The 22,655-nt window shown below is 36.6% G+C and overlaps 1 protein-coding gene, 1 long non-coding RNA gene and 1 pseudogene across 22 annotated transcripts in view; 2 read left to right on the top strand and 1 right to left on the bottom strand.

Moving 5' to 3' along the window:
- The window catches only part of ENTPD1-AS1 (ENTPD1 antisense RNA 1), a 337,030-nt gene that overhangs the window by 73,713 nt on the left and 240,662 nt on the right, over positions 1 to 22,655 (top strand). The window lies entirely within an intron of this gene.
- The window catches only part of CC2D2B (coiled-coil and C2 domain containing 2B), a 126,075-nt gene that overhangs the window by 17,223 nt on the left and 86,197 nt on the right, over positions 1 to 22,655 (bottom strand). For 11 of the 21 annotated variants that reach the window (XM_024447995.2, XM_024447996.2, NM_001349008.3 and 8 more), the window contains 8 exons: positions 21,158 to 21,254; positions 20,271 to 20,380; positions 12,275 to 12,371; positions 6,600 to 6,698; positions 4,156 to 4,338; positions 3,794 to 3,991; positions 2,646 to 2,735; positions 209 to 322 (listed from right to left, as the gene is read on the bottom strand). In XM_024447995.2, coding sequence (XP_024303763.1) covers positions 209 to 322; positions 2,646 to 2,735; positions 3,794 to 3,991; positions 4,156 to 4,338; positions 6,600 to 6,698; positions 12,275 to 12,371; positions 20,271 to 20,380; positions 21,158 to 21,254 — 988 coding nt within the window. Of the gene's footprint in view, positions 1 to 208; positions 323 to 2,645; positions 2,736 to 3,793; positions 3,992 to 4,155; positions 4,339 to 6,558; positions 6,699 to 12,274; positions 12,372 to 15,695; positions 15,729 to 16,309; positions 16,757 to 20,270; positions 20,381 to 21,157; positions 21,255 to 22,655 lie in introns of those variants that run through there. The other 10 variants (XM_024447998.2, XM_024448001.2, NM_001159747.2 and 7 more) reach the window with 10 other exon arrangements.
- RPL21P90 (ribosomal protein L21 pseudogene 90) lies at positions 16,237 to 16,789 on the top strand (annotated as a pseudogene).

Raw genomic sequence — 22,655 nt, 5'->3', positions numbered from 1 at the left:
CAGGGGAGAAAAGCAAAAGGAAATCAGTCTTTACATTGTAAAAATTTTGATGAACCAACATTATCCTCTTAACTAATCATTGCTTGCCCATGAAATTCCAAATTAGTTTGTGAAGAGATGGAAACCTGGGTTTGAAGTCTTCTAAACTTGCAGCTGAAATCTGATTTCCTTTTGCTTACATTATTTCAATATGAACTCCAGCACTTACTTCTAACACTGACGTTCCCAAGAGGACCAGTGCCTTCTTTCCAAAATACAGAAAGAAATTACAGAGAAGGATGGCATGCTCCTCCTTATTTCCGATAGCTAAACTGATGCAGTGCTAAGACAAAACAAAAGCAATAGGAACAAAAAAAGAAAAGTGCGGGAAAGTTGAGTAACGCAAGCATCCAACTGATGCGGAGCACCTGTACTCACTCCAGTTCCAAACACATTTATTTTTACCAAGTTGCTAAGTTGACAGCAGAGCAGACAGCTCCAGCTTTGCTAGGGCATTAGAGGAAGAGAACATTGACTTGGAGCATTGGGGCCACCTTTATTATAGAACACTTAATGTAGATATTGTATAGAGTGACCAGACAATTTATACCCAAAATGGGATGTTTTTGTTTAGGACAAATATTAAAGTGCCCTGGGCAAGCAGGGACATATGGACTGGTATTTCGAGGAACCTTATCTGATAGGGAATCATATAGTGTTTGTAGGAAGTGATCCTTTGGGCTGTGGAGCTACATTCTGTCCTGTACCAATATAGTACTGTCAACTCAAAGAAAGGAAGAAATCTGAGTTGGATGTTAATCAGGAAAAGTGACTGAAACGTCTTCAACTCAAAGAGCTGAACAGCTGAGCAGGGTGTAACAGATCAAATAGAGAGTGCCCAGTAAAGCACAGCAATATAGCAGGGGAGAAAAAGTATAGCAGAAGTAGCCAACTGGTGGTCTATGACTTAGTTCTAGTCTACAGGTGTGTTTTGTTTGGCTCCCAGAATGTCAAAAAAAGAGAGAACATTTTCTTAGAAAACTCTGGATTTCTGGATTTTGTTGAAAAAAAAAACAAAAACAAACTCTAGCAAAGACTTGGGTCCAAATGCTCAGATGGCAACAATCTGTTGCTGACTAGTGGCTACACCATTTAAATGAGGTGTATGGCCAGGCGCGGTGGCTCATGCTTGTAATCCCAGCACTTTGGGAGGCTGAGGCGGCCAGATCACGAGGTCAGGAGATTGAGACCATCCTGGCCAACATGGTGAAACCCCATCTCTGCTAAAATACAAAAAAAAAAAAAAAAAAAATTAGCTGGGCCTGGTGGTGCGTGCCTGTAATTCCAGCTACTCAGGAGGCTGAGGCAGGAGAATTGCTTGAACTAGGGAGTTAGAGGTTGCAGTGAGTCGAGATCGTGCCACTGCACTCCAGCCTGGCGACAGAGCGAGACTCCATTTAAAAAAAAAATGATGTGGCATGCACTCTCCAGTTCAATACAGTCCCTGAGAAGGGGCTGTGGGGGCCAGGGAGGTGGGGATAAGGGGTGGGGAGCTATAGAGCTCATGGCAATGACTATTTACCAATCATTATGGAAGCATTGCAATGTTTTAACAACTGATATGGCCCTATCAGTGTGCATTGGCTGAACCTGATGGTGAAGGATGGGGGTTAGGGAGGATAGTTAAGGAGGCCCTTCTGAAAGAACAGTGTGAACAGGTGAGCTAAGGGCAGAATAACAATAGTCTTCATTGTCAGGTCAAGGAGGTTCTGGATTTTATAAGAGGAGTAGGGAGAGGATGACAGTAGGGAACTAAGTTTTCCTGAGGTCCAGATGCTTTGCATGTTACTACATTTAGTCTTTTTAAAACTCCTGTATGACATAGATAAGGAAATTGAGGTCCAAAGAAGTTAACTTATCTTAGGTCGCACATCTACTAAGTCTTTGAACTAGGATTTTGAACCAAGGTTGTTTGTTTGTTTTACTCCAAAGACTGTGTGTTAGGTGAGAGAAAATAATTCTTTTCTTGTAAAACTGAATCAGTCATACACTCATGGTTTATGACACAAACATGATTTAAGCTGAAATGGAAGAAATACTCTAAATACTCTACTTAGGGTTGCCAGACTTGAAAAGAAGTTATAGGATGCCCAGTTAGATTTGAATTTCAGATAAACAACAAATAATTTATTACTAAAAGTTTGTCCTGAATATTGCATGGGGCCTGTATTTTATTTGGCAATCAGACTAAAGAGGACTTTAATCTAAGTGCTAAGGAAGAGCACTGTTCTACGAGCTCTTCACTCAGATGGGGGTGATGGGGGAAAGCTTTTGGGAAGTGACAGTGCTTGCACAAGACTTCAGGGTCTGACCAACTCCATAGTGACAAGTCACACTGCTCTCTGGAGAATGGCATAATATTATACTCCTGGAATTCCCGTTGAGTCAAAATATTCATGAGCTACCACTTAGAATGTTGAAAAGATTTTTGGTATTCATGAATTATTTCCATAGATTGTTATGGAACTGAAGATGATGTATAAAATTATCAAATACTTTTAAATTTCACAAGGCAAAGTAATACATAAATACATAATATTTTTAAAAGGTTTCCTTAAAAGAAATACTATATATTTCAATTATATATATAAAATGTAATTTATTACCTCTGATGTCATCCATATATCAGAGCCATCATTTTCATCTGGTGTATTAGGCACAAAAGGAATCAAAGATACAAATCGAGCAATGAGGTCCTAGAATAATATTCACATTTATTGAGTGTGTGCTGTATGTCCATCACTTAGCACAATGCTTTACATGCACTCTCTCATTTAGCATATAATCTAAGCCTATAAAAGTAGACACTATTATTATTCTAGTATTACAGAAGAGGAAATAAGCTTGGAGTAATAAAATAACTTGCCCTGGGTTCCATGGCTAATACAATATGTGAAGTCTCTGGGAAACTGAGCCCAAGTTGGGCTGACTGCACAGGGTGCATGTAACCATTATATTTTATTTATATTTATTTATTTAGTAATTATTTAATTTATTACTAAAATTTTAAATATTACAATAATATGTTTCCACATTAAACATGTACTTTAAAGTACAACTGTTAAAAAATTTTAAGATATTGAAGAATAGCAAAGGTTTTTTTTTTTTTGGTTCAAAATCTATCACAATTATTTTTGTGAATATAACTTTATTATAAGCTGCTGCAGCAGGGAGATATTAGGGTAGTACAATGTGCTTTGTCAAACAATAGAAGTTATACTATGGATTTTTCCCCTATAGTGCTGGAGACAAAGACTCAGACTAATCTAGGAAAGGAGAAAGGGGTGCAAATAAACAATGTGTTAACGTAGAAAGTTCATGAACTGATGTTGAATAGCTGCCATTTATGTGCCATTATGACCTTCTACACTGGTGACTTCATGCAATTAATGAACAAGACTCACAATCCTTGACAAGCAAAGGAGCTCAGATTTGTACATAGTTTTTAAAAGATAAAGATAGCCTTTGAAATAGATCTGAGAGCACTATTACCTCCTTGGATATTGGGTGTCAGGACACACAGGCAGAAAGAAACCCATGATGGAAAAGCGGTGTAGCAATAGGCAATCTAAATTAGAACTTTTGATTTTAGCTTAAAGAGTCCAGCTAAGGGAGCTTTATGACTCACAAACAGTACAAATATTTTGAGGACAGACAACTCACTAGATTGAACCCAAATACACAAAAGGTAAAAGTGATTCTTCACAGATGCCCTTTAATCACAATGAAGATGTTAAAAATAATAATAACTTACAAATGTTGCATTAGAATTGTGAAGAAATATATCCAGAAGTTGCTGAGGTGGATTTAATGCCTTGATATATCTTGTGACTAAGAACTGTATCCCTTCATCATTAAAAACAGTAGTTACGATTCTTCGGTTGGGAAACATTGCCTTACAATTCTTTTTAAAAATCTGTGCTCTCTGCAAGACCTCTGTTTGATCTAAAAACTACAATAAAATGTAAAGTATTTCAGAATTGTACTGTATTGTTCTCACAAGAAAATATCAAGAACCAATGTTTATTTTTGCCATCTTTGAAATTATTACTGGTTTTTAAAATAGTTCATACCTCTTTGATGGTATATATAAAAGAAATTCAATGTAAAACCTACCTTATCTAGTGTTGGATTACAGGTGACATATGATATTTGAGGTTCAATGGTAGCAAAAATATTTAAGAATGTACATTCTTTTAAATTCTGCTCATTGGAATCTTCTTTAGGAAATACATAAGTATTACTCCAAGTATACCCGAGCAAAACTGGTGGAATAGTTACTTGAAATGTTCCACTAATCTGAAAGAGTATATCAGTATAATGGATTATGCATGATGAAAATAAACATCAGTCAAATATTTAGGCCCAGCAGAGTCCACTCCATCACAGAAAGCTTGCTTGCTTGCGTGAACGGGCTTCTACTCATTTGCACTTGCCCAAGAATGAGCAGGTTCTCTGTGGTGATGTGTTCATAGGCACCCTTGACACCTTGGGTCCCTGCCTAATATGTACTATGTAGAGAGGGTAGGAGTAAGAAAGGAATGGAACAAAGAAGCAAGTTACGATACCAGCGATAAAGCTCTTAGAAAATCTAATGCAGGCTCAGAGAAGAAGTTAAAAGATCATGTTACATTTTGTATTGGGTCCAGAAAGAGAAAATATGTAACAGCAAGAAAGACAACCCTGAGGTCCACAGTAGGAGAAATTGTGTGTGTGTGTGTGTGTGTGTGTATGTGTGTGTGCGTGTGTGTAAGAGGTAAATAATAAATATTAGCTGGGAGTGGTGGTGCACACCTGTGGTCCCAGCTACTTAGGAGGATGAGGTGGGAGGATCATTTGGGCTTGGGAGGCTGAGGCTGCAATAATCCATGATTGTCCCACTGCATTCCAGCCTGGGCAACGCAGTGAGATGCTGTCTCAAAAAAATGCATAATAGCTAATAGTTACTGAGTGCTTACTAATGTGCAAGACCCTGTGCCAAGTGCTTGATATAGATCGTATCATTCAATGGAGTAAACACTGCCCTTATCTCCATTTCACAAATAAGCAAACTGAGGGTCAGAGAATTGAAGTATTTGTGCAAGATCACAAAAGTAATGAGTCAGTGGAGCCAGGATTACAACCCAGATGTGTCCACCTTTGAAGCCCACACTCTTACCTACCACTGTATCCTGCAGTCTGGCCTGAGACTGAGCAGTGTCCACAGGGACTTAAAAACATAGGAATCCCTGTAGCTGTACCTCCAACAATGTGTATTCCTATTGCCAGTCTTTGCAACACGTGCCATCATGACTTCATGTGATTGCACATTGTGCAGGCACCTCTACTGTCCTACCTGATATTCGTTCTTTCCCACTTCCTTACCAATAGCTTCAGTTGGTAACATGACAGCCAGGTAGTAGGAACAGAATGTTCATTAACACTTTAACTGGTATACGATGGCAGCCATTTATGTACTACTATGACACTGTACAGTGGTGACTTCGTGCCATTAATAAACAAGGCTTACAATCCTTGACAAGCAAAGGAGCTAGGATTTGTATATATTTTTTAAATGATTGTCTCTGAAATAAATCTGAGAGCACTGTTATCTCCTTGGAAATTGGGTGTCAGGACACATAGGCAGGAAGAAACCCATGAAGGAAAAGCAGGGTAGCAAAAGGCAATCTAAATTAAGCCCTTATTTGCTTGACCAATTTGTCAAGCCCTTATTTTCTTGACAAATTCATCTTTAAGGACTTAATTCAAAAGTTATCGCCTATGTTAAGTTTTCTTTGATCTTTGGTTCTCCTCCTTAGTCTCCTCTTAACTACCAAACTCTCTGAACCACTCCCCCGGCATTTCCACTTGCAACCCAGGAACAGTAAAGTACTCCCTACTGTATGTTCCCATGTACCTATCTCATACCTCTATTAAAGCACTACAGCATTATCACATTGTACTGAAATGTTAGTTTTATTCCACAGACAGTGAACTCATTGAGGTAGAAAATTCATTTCTGAATTTTCACATTTACAGTGTCTGGCATGGCGTCGAGATGTCAAGTGCCTTGCCTATCATCACTTAGTGAAGAAGTAACAGTGGAGTCTGGGCTGGGGCTTTTCTACTTTGCTAGTCATGTAGGCATTTTCCTGCTACATAATAAACCAACAGCAGAGCCCTCTGAGGGTCTCACAGAGACTAGTGCAAATCATAGGTCTTACCATTGTCAATAAACAGTGTTGACAAGCTGAAACTCCTGGTACCCATGATTACAAAGAAACACCATTAATCAGAATGTTTCATGAATCTGATCTTATAGAACTCTTATATGCAAATACAAATGTTGTTTTAAGACCTAAGACTAGTTTTCCTATTCTTTGTTAGTTAACACTCTAAAGAACTCTCCAGAGACAGTTCAAATCTTCAAACACTTCAAAAGCCCAGAACATTCTAATACAGGATCATCTTAACTGACCTACCAGCCTGCCAATCACAGAGTCTGATTCAAAGACAACAGAAAGTTTTTCTATGAGCCAGAGGTCAAAACTTAGAATGAGCAAAGAAGCATTTTCTCTTACCTCAGATTGTTGCAGAAGAGCAGAAAAAGGGAAGACAATGCATCCAAGCCAATTCTTTCTTATATATGAGTGACCACTACAGCTCTTGAGACAGTGATCCTATGAAAATAAATAATTTTTTATTACTTACTTAATATCATGTGATGAATAGTTTTATAAACTCACAGGTAAATATAAAAAGTCATTCTCTTTCTTCTAAAAAAGAAATCAAAAGATAAATAGAAAAGATCTGTTTTTCTTGCTTTTTAATTTCTTTGAAAGATAACTATTTAAAGCAAAAATAATAGTCTGAGAGAAAATTATCTGTTGTGGAGTTTATGACTTGTGTAAAGTAGAATGTATGACAACACTAGCACAATGCAAGGAAGGGGAAATGGAGGCATTATATTATAGTATCCTGCTCTTACACTATATGTGAAGTGGTACTGTATTATGTACAGATAGTCTGTGGCAAATTAAAGAGAATATTGTAAACCTGAGAGCAACAGTTAAGAAAACAAACAATTATAGCTAATAAGCCAATAGTGGAGATAAAATGAAATCATAAAAGTATTCCATCAATCCAAAAGAAGGCAGGAAAAAAGAATACAGAATAGTTGGGATAAGCAGAAAATAAATAGGAAGATGGTACACAGCCAGGTTAATAATTATACAAAATGTAAATGGTCATACATTCAAAGGCAGAGATTGTCAGAGTGGATTAAAAAGCAAGACTCAACTGTATGCTGTCTAGAGTAAACCCATTTTAAATATAAAGACACAGCTTAAAAGAAAATAAAAAGATATGTTATACAAACACTAATGAAAAGAAAGCCGAGTCACTATATTTATAACAGTCAAACCATATTTAAAAACAAGAAATATAATCAGGAATAAAGAGAGATATTTTATACTGATACAGGAATCTATTCATCAAAAAGAAATATGTATGTAATATGTAATATATATCTAACATGTATGAACCTACAAACAGAGTTGCAAAATACAGAGCTAAAAAACATGACATCAAAAGCAAGTTGATAAGTTTGACTTCATCGAAATTAAAAACCTTGCTCTTCAAAACACACTGCTAAGAAAATAAAAAGATAAACTACATATTGGGAGAAAATATCTGCAAATCATATATCTGACAAAAGACTTGAATACAAAGGACTCCCAAAATTCAATAAGAAAATAACCCAATTTTAAAAATAGACAAAAGACTTGAACAGACACCTCACCAAAAAAGATATATAAATGGCAAATAAATATTTACATGGAAGGGTGCCTAACACCATTAGTCATTAGGAAATGCAAATTAGAGCTACAATGAGAAACCACCACACAACTATTAGAGTGGCTAAAGTTTAAAAGTTTGACCAAGTGTTTGTAAGAAAGTGAAAGAACTGGAAGTCTCCTACATTATTGGTGGGCATAAAAAGTGGTACAATCACTTTGGAAAACAGTTTAGCAGTTTCTTATTCATTTACCATCATATCCAGCTATTTTTATTTACTAAGAGAAATGAAAGCATTTGTCTATAAAAGGACTTTACACAAATGTTCATAGCAGCTTTATTTATAATAGTCAAAAAATGAAAACAACCTAAATGTCCATCAACAGGTGAATATATAAACAAGCAATGAAATGCATGTTTATCAATGGAATACTGCTATATAATAAAAAGAAATGAACTATTTGATAAAACTACAACATGAATGAATCTGAAAATAATTTTTCTGAGTAAAAGAAGCAAAACCAAAAAAAAAAAAAAAAGAACACATACCATAGGATTCCATTTTCGATAAAATTCTAGAAAATAGAAACGATAGTGACAGAACACAAATCACTGGTTGTGGGCAGGAGGTAGATAGGCCAACAGAGCAGGGGGATACTTTTGAGGGTAATGGATATGTTTATTATCTTAATTGTGATGCCAGTTTCATTGGTATATACATATATCAAAATGTCAAATTATACACTTTAAATATGTGCAGATTATTGCATGCTAATCATTCCTCAATAACACTATTACCAAAATTAGAGGAAGTATTCATAGTAGGGAGAAGCAGGGATTAGGCATAAAAGGGATTGGCATTCACTACCACCACCACCCCTCCCATTGGCAGCACCCTATGATCTACTCCACTTTTGGCCACTTATATTTTTCATTTCATCAACCAAAGGCCAGAGAATCTAGGGAAAGTGAAAGAAAATAGCTGAAGTTTGAAAAAAGCTGCTAAAACCCTGATTCCTGCCTTTAGTTAATAACCACTGCTTTGGACATTAGGAGCCCTTCCAACTTTTTGCACTTAGGAAGTTACCCCATCCACTTACCAGACAATATGAGAAGTGTCTTTTAAATCCAGAGGCTAACCAGCAACAACAGAGCTGAGCAAGATGGACTGTGCTGCTCTAGTCTAAAAGGTAATAGGCACACTTAGGTAGCTTTGTAGGAATCAAGTCCTTGGAATTCTGACTGATGTGCTCTCAACTGCATTAATCTTTCCATCCTAAGTCCCAGGGATGCTGGAGGCTTCTTAGGTCTACCTTGCCTTAGGCTATTGATTATAGCTCTATCAAGGTTCACTTTAGAATTAGTTCCCTACATGGATGGAGCTGGAGGCCATTATCCTTAGCAAACTAACACAGGAAAAGAAAACCAAATACCACATGCTCTCACTTATAAGTGGGAGCTAAACGATGAGAACACATGGACACATAGAGAGGGATAACACACACTGGGGCCTATTGGAGTGTGGAGGGTGGGAGGTGGGAAAGGATCAGGAAAAATAGCTAATGGATACTAGGCTTAATACCTGGGTGATGAAATAATCTGTACAACAAACCCCTGTGACACAAGTTTACCTGTATAACAAACTGGCATGTGTACCCCTGAACTTCAAAGTCAAATAAAAATAAAAAGTATGTAAAATTAGTTCCTTATGCATCCTCTCTGAGAAGCAATGAAAGAATTTTAAGATCAACAATACGAATTATATATGAAGCAACCTTTAAGGAATCTATTAGTATGGGAACTGTATGTATCAAGTAATAAAAAGAAGACAATATCTGGAGCTATAATGTGTATGTGGTGAGTCTGCATATCCTGGTGTAAGTTGAAGCAGGGCCAGGCACTCTGATGGTTAAATGGTGGAAGAGGTTCTGCTATGATTGGACCATCTCTTTAAATAACTCATATAAATAAAACTCAGATATCTGTGTATTTAGTCTCTCAATCCCTTGTAAATCAAAGGAACCCCTTCATCTTTGTCCTGGAAGATAATTTCTTTGTGAGCAACATAGCTTGTCCAATAGGGTCCCTTATCTTGTCATCAGGAGGAACATCTTTGTATGTTAATTAGCAGTCATAGAGTTGGGACAGTGGCTTGACTAAATGAACCATGGACTAAAGGCTCAAATGTACAGCATGACTTCCACAAGGTAATAAAACTGAAATTTAAAATCAAAAGTTTACACAAAAGCCTTTCAAACATTTGAAAATGCGAAGATACAGTATTAGAAGACTGTTAGGCCAAGCAAGAAAATGTTATAACAAGCAAGAAATGTTATGTATATATATATTATATAAATTCTATGTATATAATATATATTACATATATAAAATAAAAAATAAGTCACTAAATATAAAATACATAGCCTAAGATGTTTACCGAGATAAATTTATAGTCTCAGAATGTTTCTATTATTCATGAGAAGGCAAGAGATCAAACAAACTAGGCATTCAATACATTTGGCCAAAGTAAGTACAAAAACTGTAGTCCTGGAGGAATAGGGAGAAAAAAATAATTAAAATACAAGTGGAAATAAATGAATTAGAAAACCAAAAAAGTGAAAAGTAAAAACAATTTCAGTAGTTGGTTCTTTAAAGAATAGGCAAACATCTTCCAAATTAAATAATTTTTTAAAAATTTGAAAGACATGGTTGGATAAAGTTAGAAACCAGATGAGAGTAGATAATAGCAAGTCAAAAATTATGAGACTATGCTGAAAATTTATATGCTAATACATTTTAAAATCTTGAAAATAACTATTTTTTTAAAAAAAGTATTTAAACCAATCTGAGTTTTGGGTTAGTTTAAGGTCTTTCTGTGGCTACTGGGATTTTTGTTAGAGTTTCAGTTAATCTAAGTTTTAAATCTGGAGTATGCATGGGGCTTGCTCTGCCAGTTCCAAAGGCAGTTCAGTCCATTTCTTTCATGCCAAGCGTTAGAAATAGGCTACGTGTCTGTAAGAGTTCCAATTCTTCAGCTTTCTGCTAATACATAACTGAAGAAAGGGAGACCTGTGGGAAGTAAGAAAACAGTTGATAGCAGGAAGAAAATATACAGGAGGGGCACAGAGAAAAAAAGAGGAAAAATGAAACATTTCTAGACAAAATAATGTTCAGTGATAACTTAAAACCTTCTTTCAATTGTGTGGCTATCTCGGGGCTCAGCCTGGCTCTAGTCATTTAGAAGACAATGGAATGTTTTGGCCCATAGCTACCCTAAAACCTTGTCCATGAGAGGAGGACAAGAATGCAAGGCCCTTTCCTTTTTTAAAGAGCATGCCAATATTGTCACAAACAAGTCTGATACCTAAAGCATGTGGATCTCATTCCAATAACAACAAACTCACTCTAATAACAATGCAAAGCACTTTCAAGGGTTCAGTTGTTAATCAACTGCTATTCAATTCTGATCAAATTAGTCTTTGAGATAATTCACTTTTGAGAGAAAAAATTTGTTAGACATTCTTTTGGGTTTTCTAAGCTTTACCCGTTACCAATTTCGATCATCAAAACACTACTCAGTTTAACTCCTTGGAGAAAAGCTATCACCAAATTATTGCTCAATATTTTACCTTCAGCATTTATCATGGTTGATTTAAAGTTTCTTTAATAAGAATGTGTGTTGTATCTCCTGGAAAACTGAGTTGGAAAACATAGCCATTATGATTTGCAGTGGTTTTTACAGAAGGCTCGTTCCTGAACCTTACTCTTCAAGGTCTTGTTCAACTTCTCTGACATGGATCCCCAGGCCCTCCAGGTAGAATTAATTGCTCCTTCAGTAGCATTGCCATAGAATTTGGAAAACGTTTCTATTAAAGCATTTAATCTACATACCTTAAAAGAGTAGATACTATGGGTATGCATCTTTATATTTTTAGTAGCAAGTTCAATAGTGAGGAAACTAACGTTTATTTTGGAGCTTGCTAGGGTGCTGGGCATTGTGCTAGGAACTTTTACACATCTATGAGGATGACAGTAATTTTAGAAATTAGATTAAGTAGAACTGAATTTTAGCCTTAGGAATAATTTGATCTCTTTTGCAGGAGTGGTATATTTTCTTTGATCAGATAATAAGATATATGTAACCTATTTCTGTTTATATTTCTGTATTGGCTACAGGAAGCTCACATTTAATTGTAATGTTCAATTGCAGAAACCTACTTCTCCCAAGTTCTTGATAATATTTATTCCTCCTCCTCCTGTATGTGGTTTATGATCTCTGTTATTTTTGAACTGACTTGTTATATGTCTGATTTTATTGCAAATTGCCTCAAATCCTTTCAAGAAAATGTTGGATGTAGACATTGCATCTAAAAGCATATTTACAAACATGTTAGTAGACTTCATTCAGTTTGACCTTAGAATTATTTCAGCATTGGCTATTGTAATTATTCTACTTTACCTCATGTTTTTCAGTCATCATTTCATCAAAAATGTTGATATATATGTTATCTTTTATTTTAGATAAGCTTGAGAAGCTATAATCATGTCCTGGTGAGCTGCAAATAAGAAAAATATATTCAAATGCTTAATTTTCTCAAAATCCACTTATTTCCTAAGAGCACTATTCATAAAGAACTATAAAATTACCTGTGTTGTTTTCTTTTATGAAGTATAAACTAAGAAAAAGTTCTATGTTCTGAAGACTGGCTGCTACCTTTCATTAGAGCCAGCATGTGCTTTGTAATTTACATGTCTCTTAAGATGAAAAATAAAAATGTTTAAGTGTTGAACAGAAAGGCTTTCACTACAGCTATCAATTGCAAAGATTCTTTGGAGTATTGTATAGATTTTTCAACTATCTTAAATTCTGCTAGTTTCTGCTAGTTGACACATAGAGATAAAATGCTCTTTTATTCCCAGTTAATAGATATGACTTTAAATACAGAATTTACGGCCCGGCATGGTGGCTCACGCCTGTAATCCCAGCACTTTGGGAGGCCGAGGCGGGTGGATCACCTGAGGTCAGGAGTTCGAGGCAAGCCTGGCTAACATGGCGAAACCCTGTCTCTACTAAAAATACACACACACACACACACACACACACACACACACACACACACAATTAGCCGGGCCTGGTGGCAGGCGGTTGTAATCCCAGCTACTCAGGAGGCTGAGGCAGGAGAATCGCTTGAACCCGGGAGGCGGAGGTTGCAGTGAGTCGAGATCACGCCACTGCACTCCAGCCTGGGTAACAAGAGCAGAACTCCATCTCTAAATAAATACATAAATAAATAACGGAATTTATTCTCTTTCCCATGTTAATTTTCTCCAAGCAGAAACTGGGATAATGGAGTGCATTTAATTTTGCAAGCTGTCTGCTGATGGCATTCTTGATTAGGTACATTTTGGAGGTAGTTGAAAGGGTAGTGTATATCATGAGCAATGAACTTTCACTCTCAGCTCCAGTTTGTGCACTGAATCTCCATCAAACATTTAACAGTGATGGAAATCTCAATCCTGTACAATAGGTTACTTTACACAGAGAAACTGAAGCTCACAGAAGTTAAATAACTTACTCAAGGTAATGCCACCAGCAAATCACAGAGCCTGATCTGGACATAGCTTTTCTTCTTTTTAATATTTTTATTTAGTTTATTTATTTCTATATATATATATATATATATATTTATTTATTTTTTGAGACAGGGTCTATCTTTCCCAGGCTGATCTTGAACTCCTGGGCTCAAGTGATCCTCCTACCTCAGCCTCTCGAGTAGCTGGGCCTACAGGCTGTACCACCACACTTGGCTGGACCCGGTTCTAACAAACTCCAAAGACCAGGTCTTTTCATTATACAGCTGCCACTGACATTACTTGTTGAATCTTGTTGCTTAAGGAAGCAACCACTATTTCAAAGGATCTTCAACAGCTTCTCTAACTTTCTGAAGCCTACAAGCAATGATGATTGAAAAATGCTAGTTGAGTTTAGAGAACAATTTTAAGTGGAAGTTTCCTTATATTTCCTAGTGATAAAATAACTAGCTGACTCCCCTACTTTGTTCCTCAAGGATTTCCTTTCATGTTGCCAGAATCTAAGAAAGGGCGGGGCAGGCAATATTTATTTACAACATTGTGCTAGCAGGAGAAAGAACAACTGTCATCCTTACAACATTTTTTAGCTTGTTAACTTAGTATATTCCTGACATCACTTAAGTCCTTCTGCATTATTTTGCATTCTGTATTCTGTTAAAATGTTCTTCAGATGTTACCATAATTCTTCCCCCAGAAAGGGCTTATGGAGCTAATTATTTAATATTATTTATTACTTATAAATATTATTTATTATGACTACTTATCCATTTGCTTGTGGTTTTTATTCACTAAAATGTCACAAGAAGAGGGGAGTTGGGGTCTTGTATCAGAGGCAACAAAAAGTAGTAGCTGGATGGTTTTGCCTTATCCAAAGCCTCTGATCCACTTGGTTGTGCTCTACATTGTTCTTGGCCTATTTCACTGCTATAATTGCAAGGATGTAAACACTCCCAAGTCTTCTCATTAGTTCACTTATAAGTTTATGTATCTTATTGACTGTTTTATGTTCTCCTAAATTTATTTAATACAGTATATTTCTTCTAACTCTAATGTCTACATTAATATTCCAAATATTTGCAAACACACATGACCACACATTTTACATTTACAAACTTTTCAAACAAATACATTTTATATGTTAATTATTTAACTTGATATTATACAATATTATATAACAGATTTCCCTTTAAGTCAATAATTTCCTTCACACACAAAGAATAAATAGTTCAAGAAAGCAAGTGTCAGAAAACAAGGCAAAGTGAGAGGTACAAGATTCAGACAGGCAGCCAAATAACAAGAATATCTGTTTAGGAACTCTGGCCAATGACTCTGAAAATATAATTGAGCCTATGTTGAATCTGGAAGAACAAATTTGATTTCTGCTAATAGCAGAAGTTCCATAGTATCTAAGCTAACAAAATTCTAAGGTGTGCTTCCTTATAGTTCCCCTACCCCTAATTTGAAATAATGGCATAAACAGGGTCTCCCTTTCCTTGCAAATCCTGTTTAGGATCTGAAGCCTTTCACTTTCAGAAGGGGTGGCTGGGATGTGAATGTTTATATAGCCTCCAAGATGTCATCACATATATGCAAGTGATTATATCGGTTCTTCTGAGTTCCTTTAGCCTTTGTTAGTGGGGTTATATATTAACATAGGCTTCAGATAAAGCATAGAAATCCTATAAAATCATATAAACGATGAAAACATGAAATATAAAATATTCGTAGGAAATTATAGAAAATAAATTATAAAAAAATATAAAATGATGGCTAATCCACGACAATCCTGCTCTATGTGTATGAATAAGAAGTAAATTTTCCCACCTTTCAAAATAAAAAGAAACATATTATTTGAAAAAATGTTTAGATGTTTAATAGCTACACATACCTGCTCATGAGAGAAATTTATACCCAGCAGTAAAGCATAGCAATACTAAAGGAAGTGGCAATGGAATTAGATCCATTTTACTGGGTCTGTGTGTGTGTGTATGTGTGTGTCCCTAAACACCACATAAAGGATTATTCTAGTCTATATCTGTTTTATTCCTTCTTGGTAGCAAGCAGGAACATAGGTGTATATTTCTTTTTGGATTTAAAAATCTGATTTATTAACTATTTTAACTAAAAATACTTTTATATACAGGAATGTTATTGAAAAAGATATCCTCACTCATTCTTCAGAAAATGCGATGGTCTAAAATTTTAATGCAAGTTGACATATGTTCTAAAGTAAGGAAAGTAAAGGAAGACCACTATTTATTAAAGAAGATTTTTTTAAAAGGACATACCATAAAGGAAAGGACTGGTACAGTTTAAAACTTCTTTTCATCAAAATGCATCATAAAGAAAATGAAAAGTCAAGCCATTAGGGAAAGATAGTTTTAACACATATAACTCACAAAGGGCTGGTATCCATAATATATAGAGAATTGCTTTAAAAAAAATAAAGACAGGCCGGGCACGGTGGCTCACACCTGTAATCCCAGCACTTTGGGAGGCCGAGGCGGGAGGATCATGAGGTCAGGAGATCAATACCATCCTGACTAACATGGTGAAACCCTGTCTCTATCAAAAATACAAATAAATTAGCTGGGCGTGGTGGCAGGCACCTGTAGTCCCAGCTACTCGGGAGGCTGAGGCAGGAGAATGGTTCGAACCTGGGAGGCAGAGCTTGCAGTGAGCCCAGATCGCGCCACTGCACTCCAGCCTGGGCGACAGAGCAAGACTCCGCCTCAAAGATAAATATATAAATACATTTTATTTATTTATTTATTTATTTATTATAAATAAATAAAGACAGACGAAACAATAGAAAAATAGAGAAAAGTATCCTTTCGGCTGGAGCAGCCATCTTCCAGTAATTCGCCAAAATGATGAACGCAAAGGAAAAGAAGAAAGGCACCTGATGTATGTTCTCTAGGCCTTTTAGAAAACATGGAGTTGTTCCTTTGGCCATGTATATGCGAATCTATAAGAAAGGTGATATTGTAGACATCAAGAGAATGGATATTGTTTAAAAAGGAATGCCCACAGGTGTTACCACGGCAAAACTGGAAGAGTCTACAATGTTACCCAACATGCTGTTGGCATTGTTGTAAACAAAGAAGGGCAAGATTCTTGCCAAGAGAATTAATGTGTGTATTGAGCACATAAGTGCTCTAAGAGCTGAGATAGCTTCCCGAAACACGTGAAGGAAAATGATCAGAAAAAGAAGCCAGAGAGAAAGGTACCTGGGTTCAACTGAAGTGCCAGCCTGCTTCACCCAGAGAAGCACCCTTTGTGAGACCCAATGGGAAGGAGCCTGAGCTGCTGGAACCTACTCCCTATAAAGTCATGGCATAATTGGTGTTAAAAAAAAAAAAAAAAAAAAGACCTCTGGACTGTAAAAATGTTTCTCTTCATTGAGAAGAAGTGTGGTGTCCTCTCTCTCAAATAAATATTTAAAGCAAATTTTAATTGTGTCCTAATGCATTATATAATGTCTTTACTAGTCAAATTTAATGTATTTCTTGCTTAGATGTGAGGTGGCTTATTGTGCAACAAATTACTCAATTGGTTAGAAAACAGTCAGATATTATTTATGAAATATTTGTACTGGTTTGAAGATAGTCCCTCTAAATCATCATGGAAGAAATAAAATAATTTCCAAAAAGAAAAAAAAAAGAAAAACAGACAAAAGTAATGAAAGGTCATTTCACAGAAAAGAAAATACCAATGACCAATGAACCTATGGAAAGAAGCTCAATGTGGATAAATAAGTAAACTGTGATACATCCATATAATAGAATATTATGCAGGGGTAAAAAGAAGTAAGCAATCAAGCTATAAAAAGACATGGAGAAAACTTGACAGGCATGTTTTTCATGGAAGAAAGCCAATCTGAAATGGCTCCATACTGTATGATTCCAACTATATGACTATGATGGCTAATTTTATGTGTCAACTGGGCTGAGACACAGTTTCTAGATATTTGGTCAAACATTATTCTAGATGTTTCTCTGAAGGTTTTTTTGTTTGTTTTTTGTTTTTTTCTTTGAGACGGAGTCTCCTTCTGTCGCCCAGGCTGGAGTGCAGTGGCGCGATCTCTGTTCACTGCAACCTCCTCCTCCTGAGTTCAAGCGATTCTCCTGCCTCAGCCTCCCAAGTAGCTGGGATTACAGGCATCCACCAGCACAGCTCACCATCTTGGCCAGGCTGGTCTCAAACTCTTGACCTCTAGTGATCCACCCGCCTCGACCTCCCAAAGTGCTGGGATTACAGATGTGAGCCACTGCACCTGGCCTCTGAAGGTATTTTTTAGGTACAGTTTAAGCCAGTTGACTTTGAGTAAAGCAGATAACCCTCCATAATAAGGGTGGACCTTATCCAATCAGTTGAAGGCCTTAATAGACAAAAGACTGACCTCCCCTGTGGAAGAGGGAATTCTGCCAGCAGATTTCCTTCAGACTTAAACTGCAACTCTTTCCCAAGTCTCCAGCTTGCCATCCTACCCTGCACATTGTGGACTTGCCAGCCTCCACAATCATGTGATCCAATTCCTTAAAATAAATTTCTCTCTCTCTCTCTCTGTCTACATCCTATTGTTTCTGTTTCTCTGGAGAACCTTGATGTACACAATGACATTCTTTAAAAGGCAAAACTGTGAAGGCAGTAAAAAGATCAGTGGTTGGCAAGGTTCCAGGGGGAGGGAGGGATGAATAGACAGAGCACACAGGATGTTTAGGGGAGTGTAACCATTCTGTGTGATACTATAATGGTAGATACATGTCACTGTACATTTGTCAAAACCTATAGAATGTACAACACCAAGAGTAAACCCTAACGTTAAATATGGACTATGGTTGATAGTGATGTATCAATGTTGGCTCATTGATTGTAACAAATATCACACAATGCAGATGTTGATGCTGAGGGAGCTGTGTGTGTGCTGTGGTGAGGGCATTTGTGGGAACTCTGTACTTCCCATCCAATTTTCTTGTGAGCCTAAAATTGCTCTAAAAATAAAGTCTCTTAATTTAAAAAAAATTGAAAAAAAAACTGCCTCTTTAAAAAGAAATTATAAATTAAACCACAATGAGAATATAATTTTAGATCCACCATATTGAGAAAAATAATTTTTAAAACACAAAATATTATGAAGACATGGCACAAAAGGAAATTGTATATACTGCTGTTGGGAGTGTATATTGATATAATCACTTTAGAAAAGAGTTTGCATTGTCCAGTAAAGTTGAAGCTGACTTCAGCTACAACCTAGCAATTCCACTTTTGAACACATATCCTAGAAAACAGGTTCTCAAAGTGTCACCTGACTAGTAGCATTAGAACCACTGGGAACTTGCTAAAGATGGAATTATCAGACCCTACCCCAGACCTACTGAATTAGAAACTACAGAAGTGGGCTTACCAATCTGTGTTTTAAGAAGCAGGCCAGGTGTGGTGGCTCATGCCTGTAATCCCAGCACTCTGGGAGGCCAGGCAGGAGGATCATTTGAGCCCAGGAGTTTGACACCAGCCTGGGCAACATAGTGAGACCCTAGTGCTACAAAAATAAAAATAAATTAGCTGGGTGTGGTGGTACACTCCTGTAGTCTCGGCTACTTGGGAGGCTGAGGCAGGAGAATCACTTAAGCCCAGGAGTTTGAGGCAGTGAGCTATGATTATACAACTGCACTTCAGCCTGGGCAACAGAGTGAGATCCTGTCCTAATTAAAAAAAAAAGCTGTCTAGATGATTTGAATGCATAAAAAGGTCTGAGAGCCACTGTCTTAAAAAGAAACTCTTGCACATGTGCTCCAGAGGACAAGTACAAGAATGTTCAAAGCAATATTGCTTGTAATGGCAAAAATTAGAAAAAAGACCAATGTTCATCAACAGAAGAAAGTATAAATAAATTATGGCATTTTTATACAACAGAATACAATATAGAAATAAAAATAAAAAAATAACAATGTCTTAGTTCATTTTGTGCTGCCATAACAGAGTATCTGAGACTAGGTAATTTATAAAGAACAGAAATTTATTTCCTACAATTATGGAGGCTGCAAAGTTCAAAATCAAGATGTCAGCATCTGGTGTCTGGTGAGGGCCTTCTTGCTGTGTCTTCACATAGTGGAAGGTGGAAGGGAAAAAGGAGACAAATGCTGTGTCCTCACATGGCGGAAGAGTAGAAGAAAGTGAACCCACACTGCAAGCCCTTTTTATAATGACATTAATCTATTCATAAGGGTGGAGCTCTCATGGCCTCAAACACCTCCCATTAGGCCTCACTTCCCAGCATTGGGAGTTAAGTTTTCAACACATGAATTTTGGGGAGCACATTTAGGCCACAGCAAACAGCTACAAGCATGAACATGGATGAATCTTTCAAAATAATTAAAGAAACAAGATTACAGAAGAATAAACAAATATAACTCAATTTATATAAAGTTGAAAACATACATAAGTAAATAATACATACTTAGGGATGAATACCTATGAAGTAAAGTCATACAGGAGAGAAAGAATGATAAACACAAATTCATGGTTATTACCTCTAGGGAGAAAGAAAGAAGATGCCGTTAGGTAATGGCACAAAGGGCCTTCTAAGGTGTTGGTAATATTACATGTTTTTAAGCTGGATGGTAAATACATAGATATTCATTTTATTACTTTTCTTTAGAACTTATGTTTATATATACATATAGATTATATATTATGCTATACAGTATACATTATGTATTAGTTTATGTGCATGAAATATTTCAAAATTTAAAAGCTTAAATAAAGCCTATTTCAATAATTATTTTCAATAAGTGGCTCAAGAAAATAATTTTATTATTGCTCTTTTTTTAGGAGCTATGGAAAAATGAACTCCAACTTACACAAAATCTACTTTAATTTCTTCATTCCAGCATGGATGAGATCCACTTGCTGTATTGGTTTTGTATACAGTGTGCTGGAAAGAAACTTCCACGAATGGATGTACAGTATCCTGAAACACATAATAAACATTGACTAGATTTTGAAATACTATATATAGTCGATAAAGGTAGAGGCCTAGGAAATTACTTGGCAAATGTATGGCTTAAGTTTTCTAGTTTTTCAAATGACCATTATTTATTTATTTATTGAATAAACATCTACTGGGTCTATTCTATATCAGGTACTTTTCTAGGATCTAAAGATAAACAGAACTTTCTCTTAAGGATTTTAAAGTCTATCAGGGGAAAATATACAGGTAAACAAACAAGTGCAATGAAATGTGAGAAATAAGAGAAACATCTTTAAGGTATGAAAATTATTCAGGAAAAGGAATGATTAACTTTTGGGGGTGACAATAAGGAGAGCATCATGGAGAAAACATTGCTTGAGCGTGTGCTTTGAAACTTTAAGTCGTAGTTCCTTTGGACAATAACATGGATATGCGTCGAGGCCATTCCAGGCAAAGGAAACAACTAGTAGAGGCCTCATAGAACAAGGAGTAGCATGATATGCCTATGGGATAGAAAGAGATGAGGCTGATTGTAGGCATGGGCCAGATGCCTGAAGATTTTGTAGCCATTTTAAGGAGCTTACACCTTATCATATAGACCCTGAGAGCAGGGAATGAAATAGTTAGAATTACATTTTATAAAGGCCACCTTTACTGTGTCATGGAAAATAAACTGGAAGCCAAAGAAAATATAGATGGAGAGATGAATTAAGAGTCAATTGTAATTCAGAACAAACATAATCAATATTATACTTTATAGAAGTGTTAAATACTTACCTCATGTAAGGTCTCATCTGAGGCTACTGATTTGATTGTTTCTCTATGTCTGAGGCAAGATATAGATGATTTCAAACAAGTAGGCATATCCAAGGATCTTCAGGAAAAACAATAGAGAGACATACACCTTAATTAGTTTTAATATTAGTTTTGGTAGGAGTGGGTGGGTTTTTCCTGTGCTTATGAAGATATATAAGTCAGTTTCTCTGGTTCTTACTGAGTTTGCCTTGAATTGTCTTATCATGTGTGGTTACAGCTAAACATTTGATAATTACTACTCTGGAAGCGCAACTCCTAAATATTGAACTATGGATTAGATCTCGTCTATGATAAAATATTCACAGGTATTCAGAAAAAGGGGAAGAAAAGGCAAGTTATTCACGATGGATGTCAATTAAAATATATATTGTGGGTGGAGGATTACCCAGGTGCCGAGGCAAGAGACTGAAGGCACAAACTGTTGCAGTGTAATAAGGAAAATAGTTAAAATAAGAATAGTTATAATACAGATTAGATATAGAGATGATCATGGACATTATCAGTCATTAGTATAAACATTATTAATCATTAGCTTTTAATATTACTCTTTTTGTATTACTAATATAACCAAGGAATGACCGGCGGGTATAGGGTCAGATGCTGAAGGGACATTGTGAGAAGTGACCTAGAAAGGAAGAGGTGAGCCCTCTGTCACACCCGCATAAGGGCCGCTTGAGGGCTCCTTGGTCAAGCGGTAACGCCAGTGTCTGGGAAGGCACTCGTTACTTAGCAGACTGTGAAAGGAGTCTCCTTTCCTTGGAGGAGTCAGGGAACACTCTGCTCTACCAGCTTCTTGTGGAAGGCTGGATATTATCCAGGCCTGCCTGCAGTCATCCGGAGGCCTAAACCCCTCCCTGTGGCACTGTGCTTCAATGGTCACGCTCCTTGTCCACTTTCATGTTCCTCCCGTACTCCTGGTTCCTCTTTGAAGTTCTTAGAAGATAGCGGTAGAAGAAATAGTGAAAGTCTTAAAGTCTTTGATCTTTCTTACAAGTGCATAGAAGAAAACACTGATGTATGCTGCCTTCCCTGTCTGCTTTGGCTACCTAAAAGGGAAGGGCCCCCTGTCCCATGATCAGGTGACTTGCTTGACCTTATAATCACTTGGACGACTCACCCTCCTTACCCTGCCCCCTTTCTTGTATGCAATGAATATCAGTGCGCCCAGCCATTTGAGGCCACCACCGGTCTCTGCATCTTGGTGGTAGTGGTCCCCTGGGCCCAGCGGTTTTCTCTTTATCTCTTTGTCTTGTGTCTTTATTTCTTACTATCTCTCGTCTCTGCACACAGGGAGAATCCCTGCTAAGCCCCGTAGGGCTGGACTGTACTATATATATATATATATATATATATATATATATATATATATATATACACATACATACACACACACACACACACACACACACACACACACACACACACATTCTCTCTCTCTATATATATATATATACACTCT

Source organism: Homo sapiens, chromosome 10 (assembly GCF_000001405.40).
Source record: "Homo sapiens chromosome 10, GRCh38.p14 Primary Assembly".
Classification (NCBI taxonomy): domain Eukaryota; kingdom Metazoa; phylum Chordata; class Mammalia; order Primates; family Hominidae; genus Homo; species Homo sapiens.
Note: the sequence above shows the minus strand (reverse complement) of the source record. Positions and strands in the feature narration are given on the sequence as shown.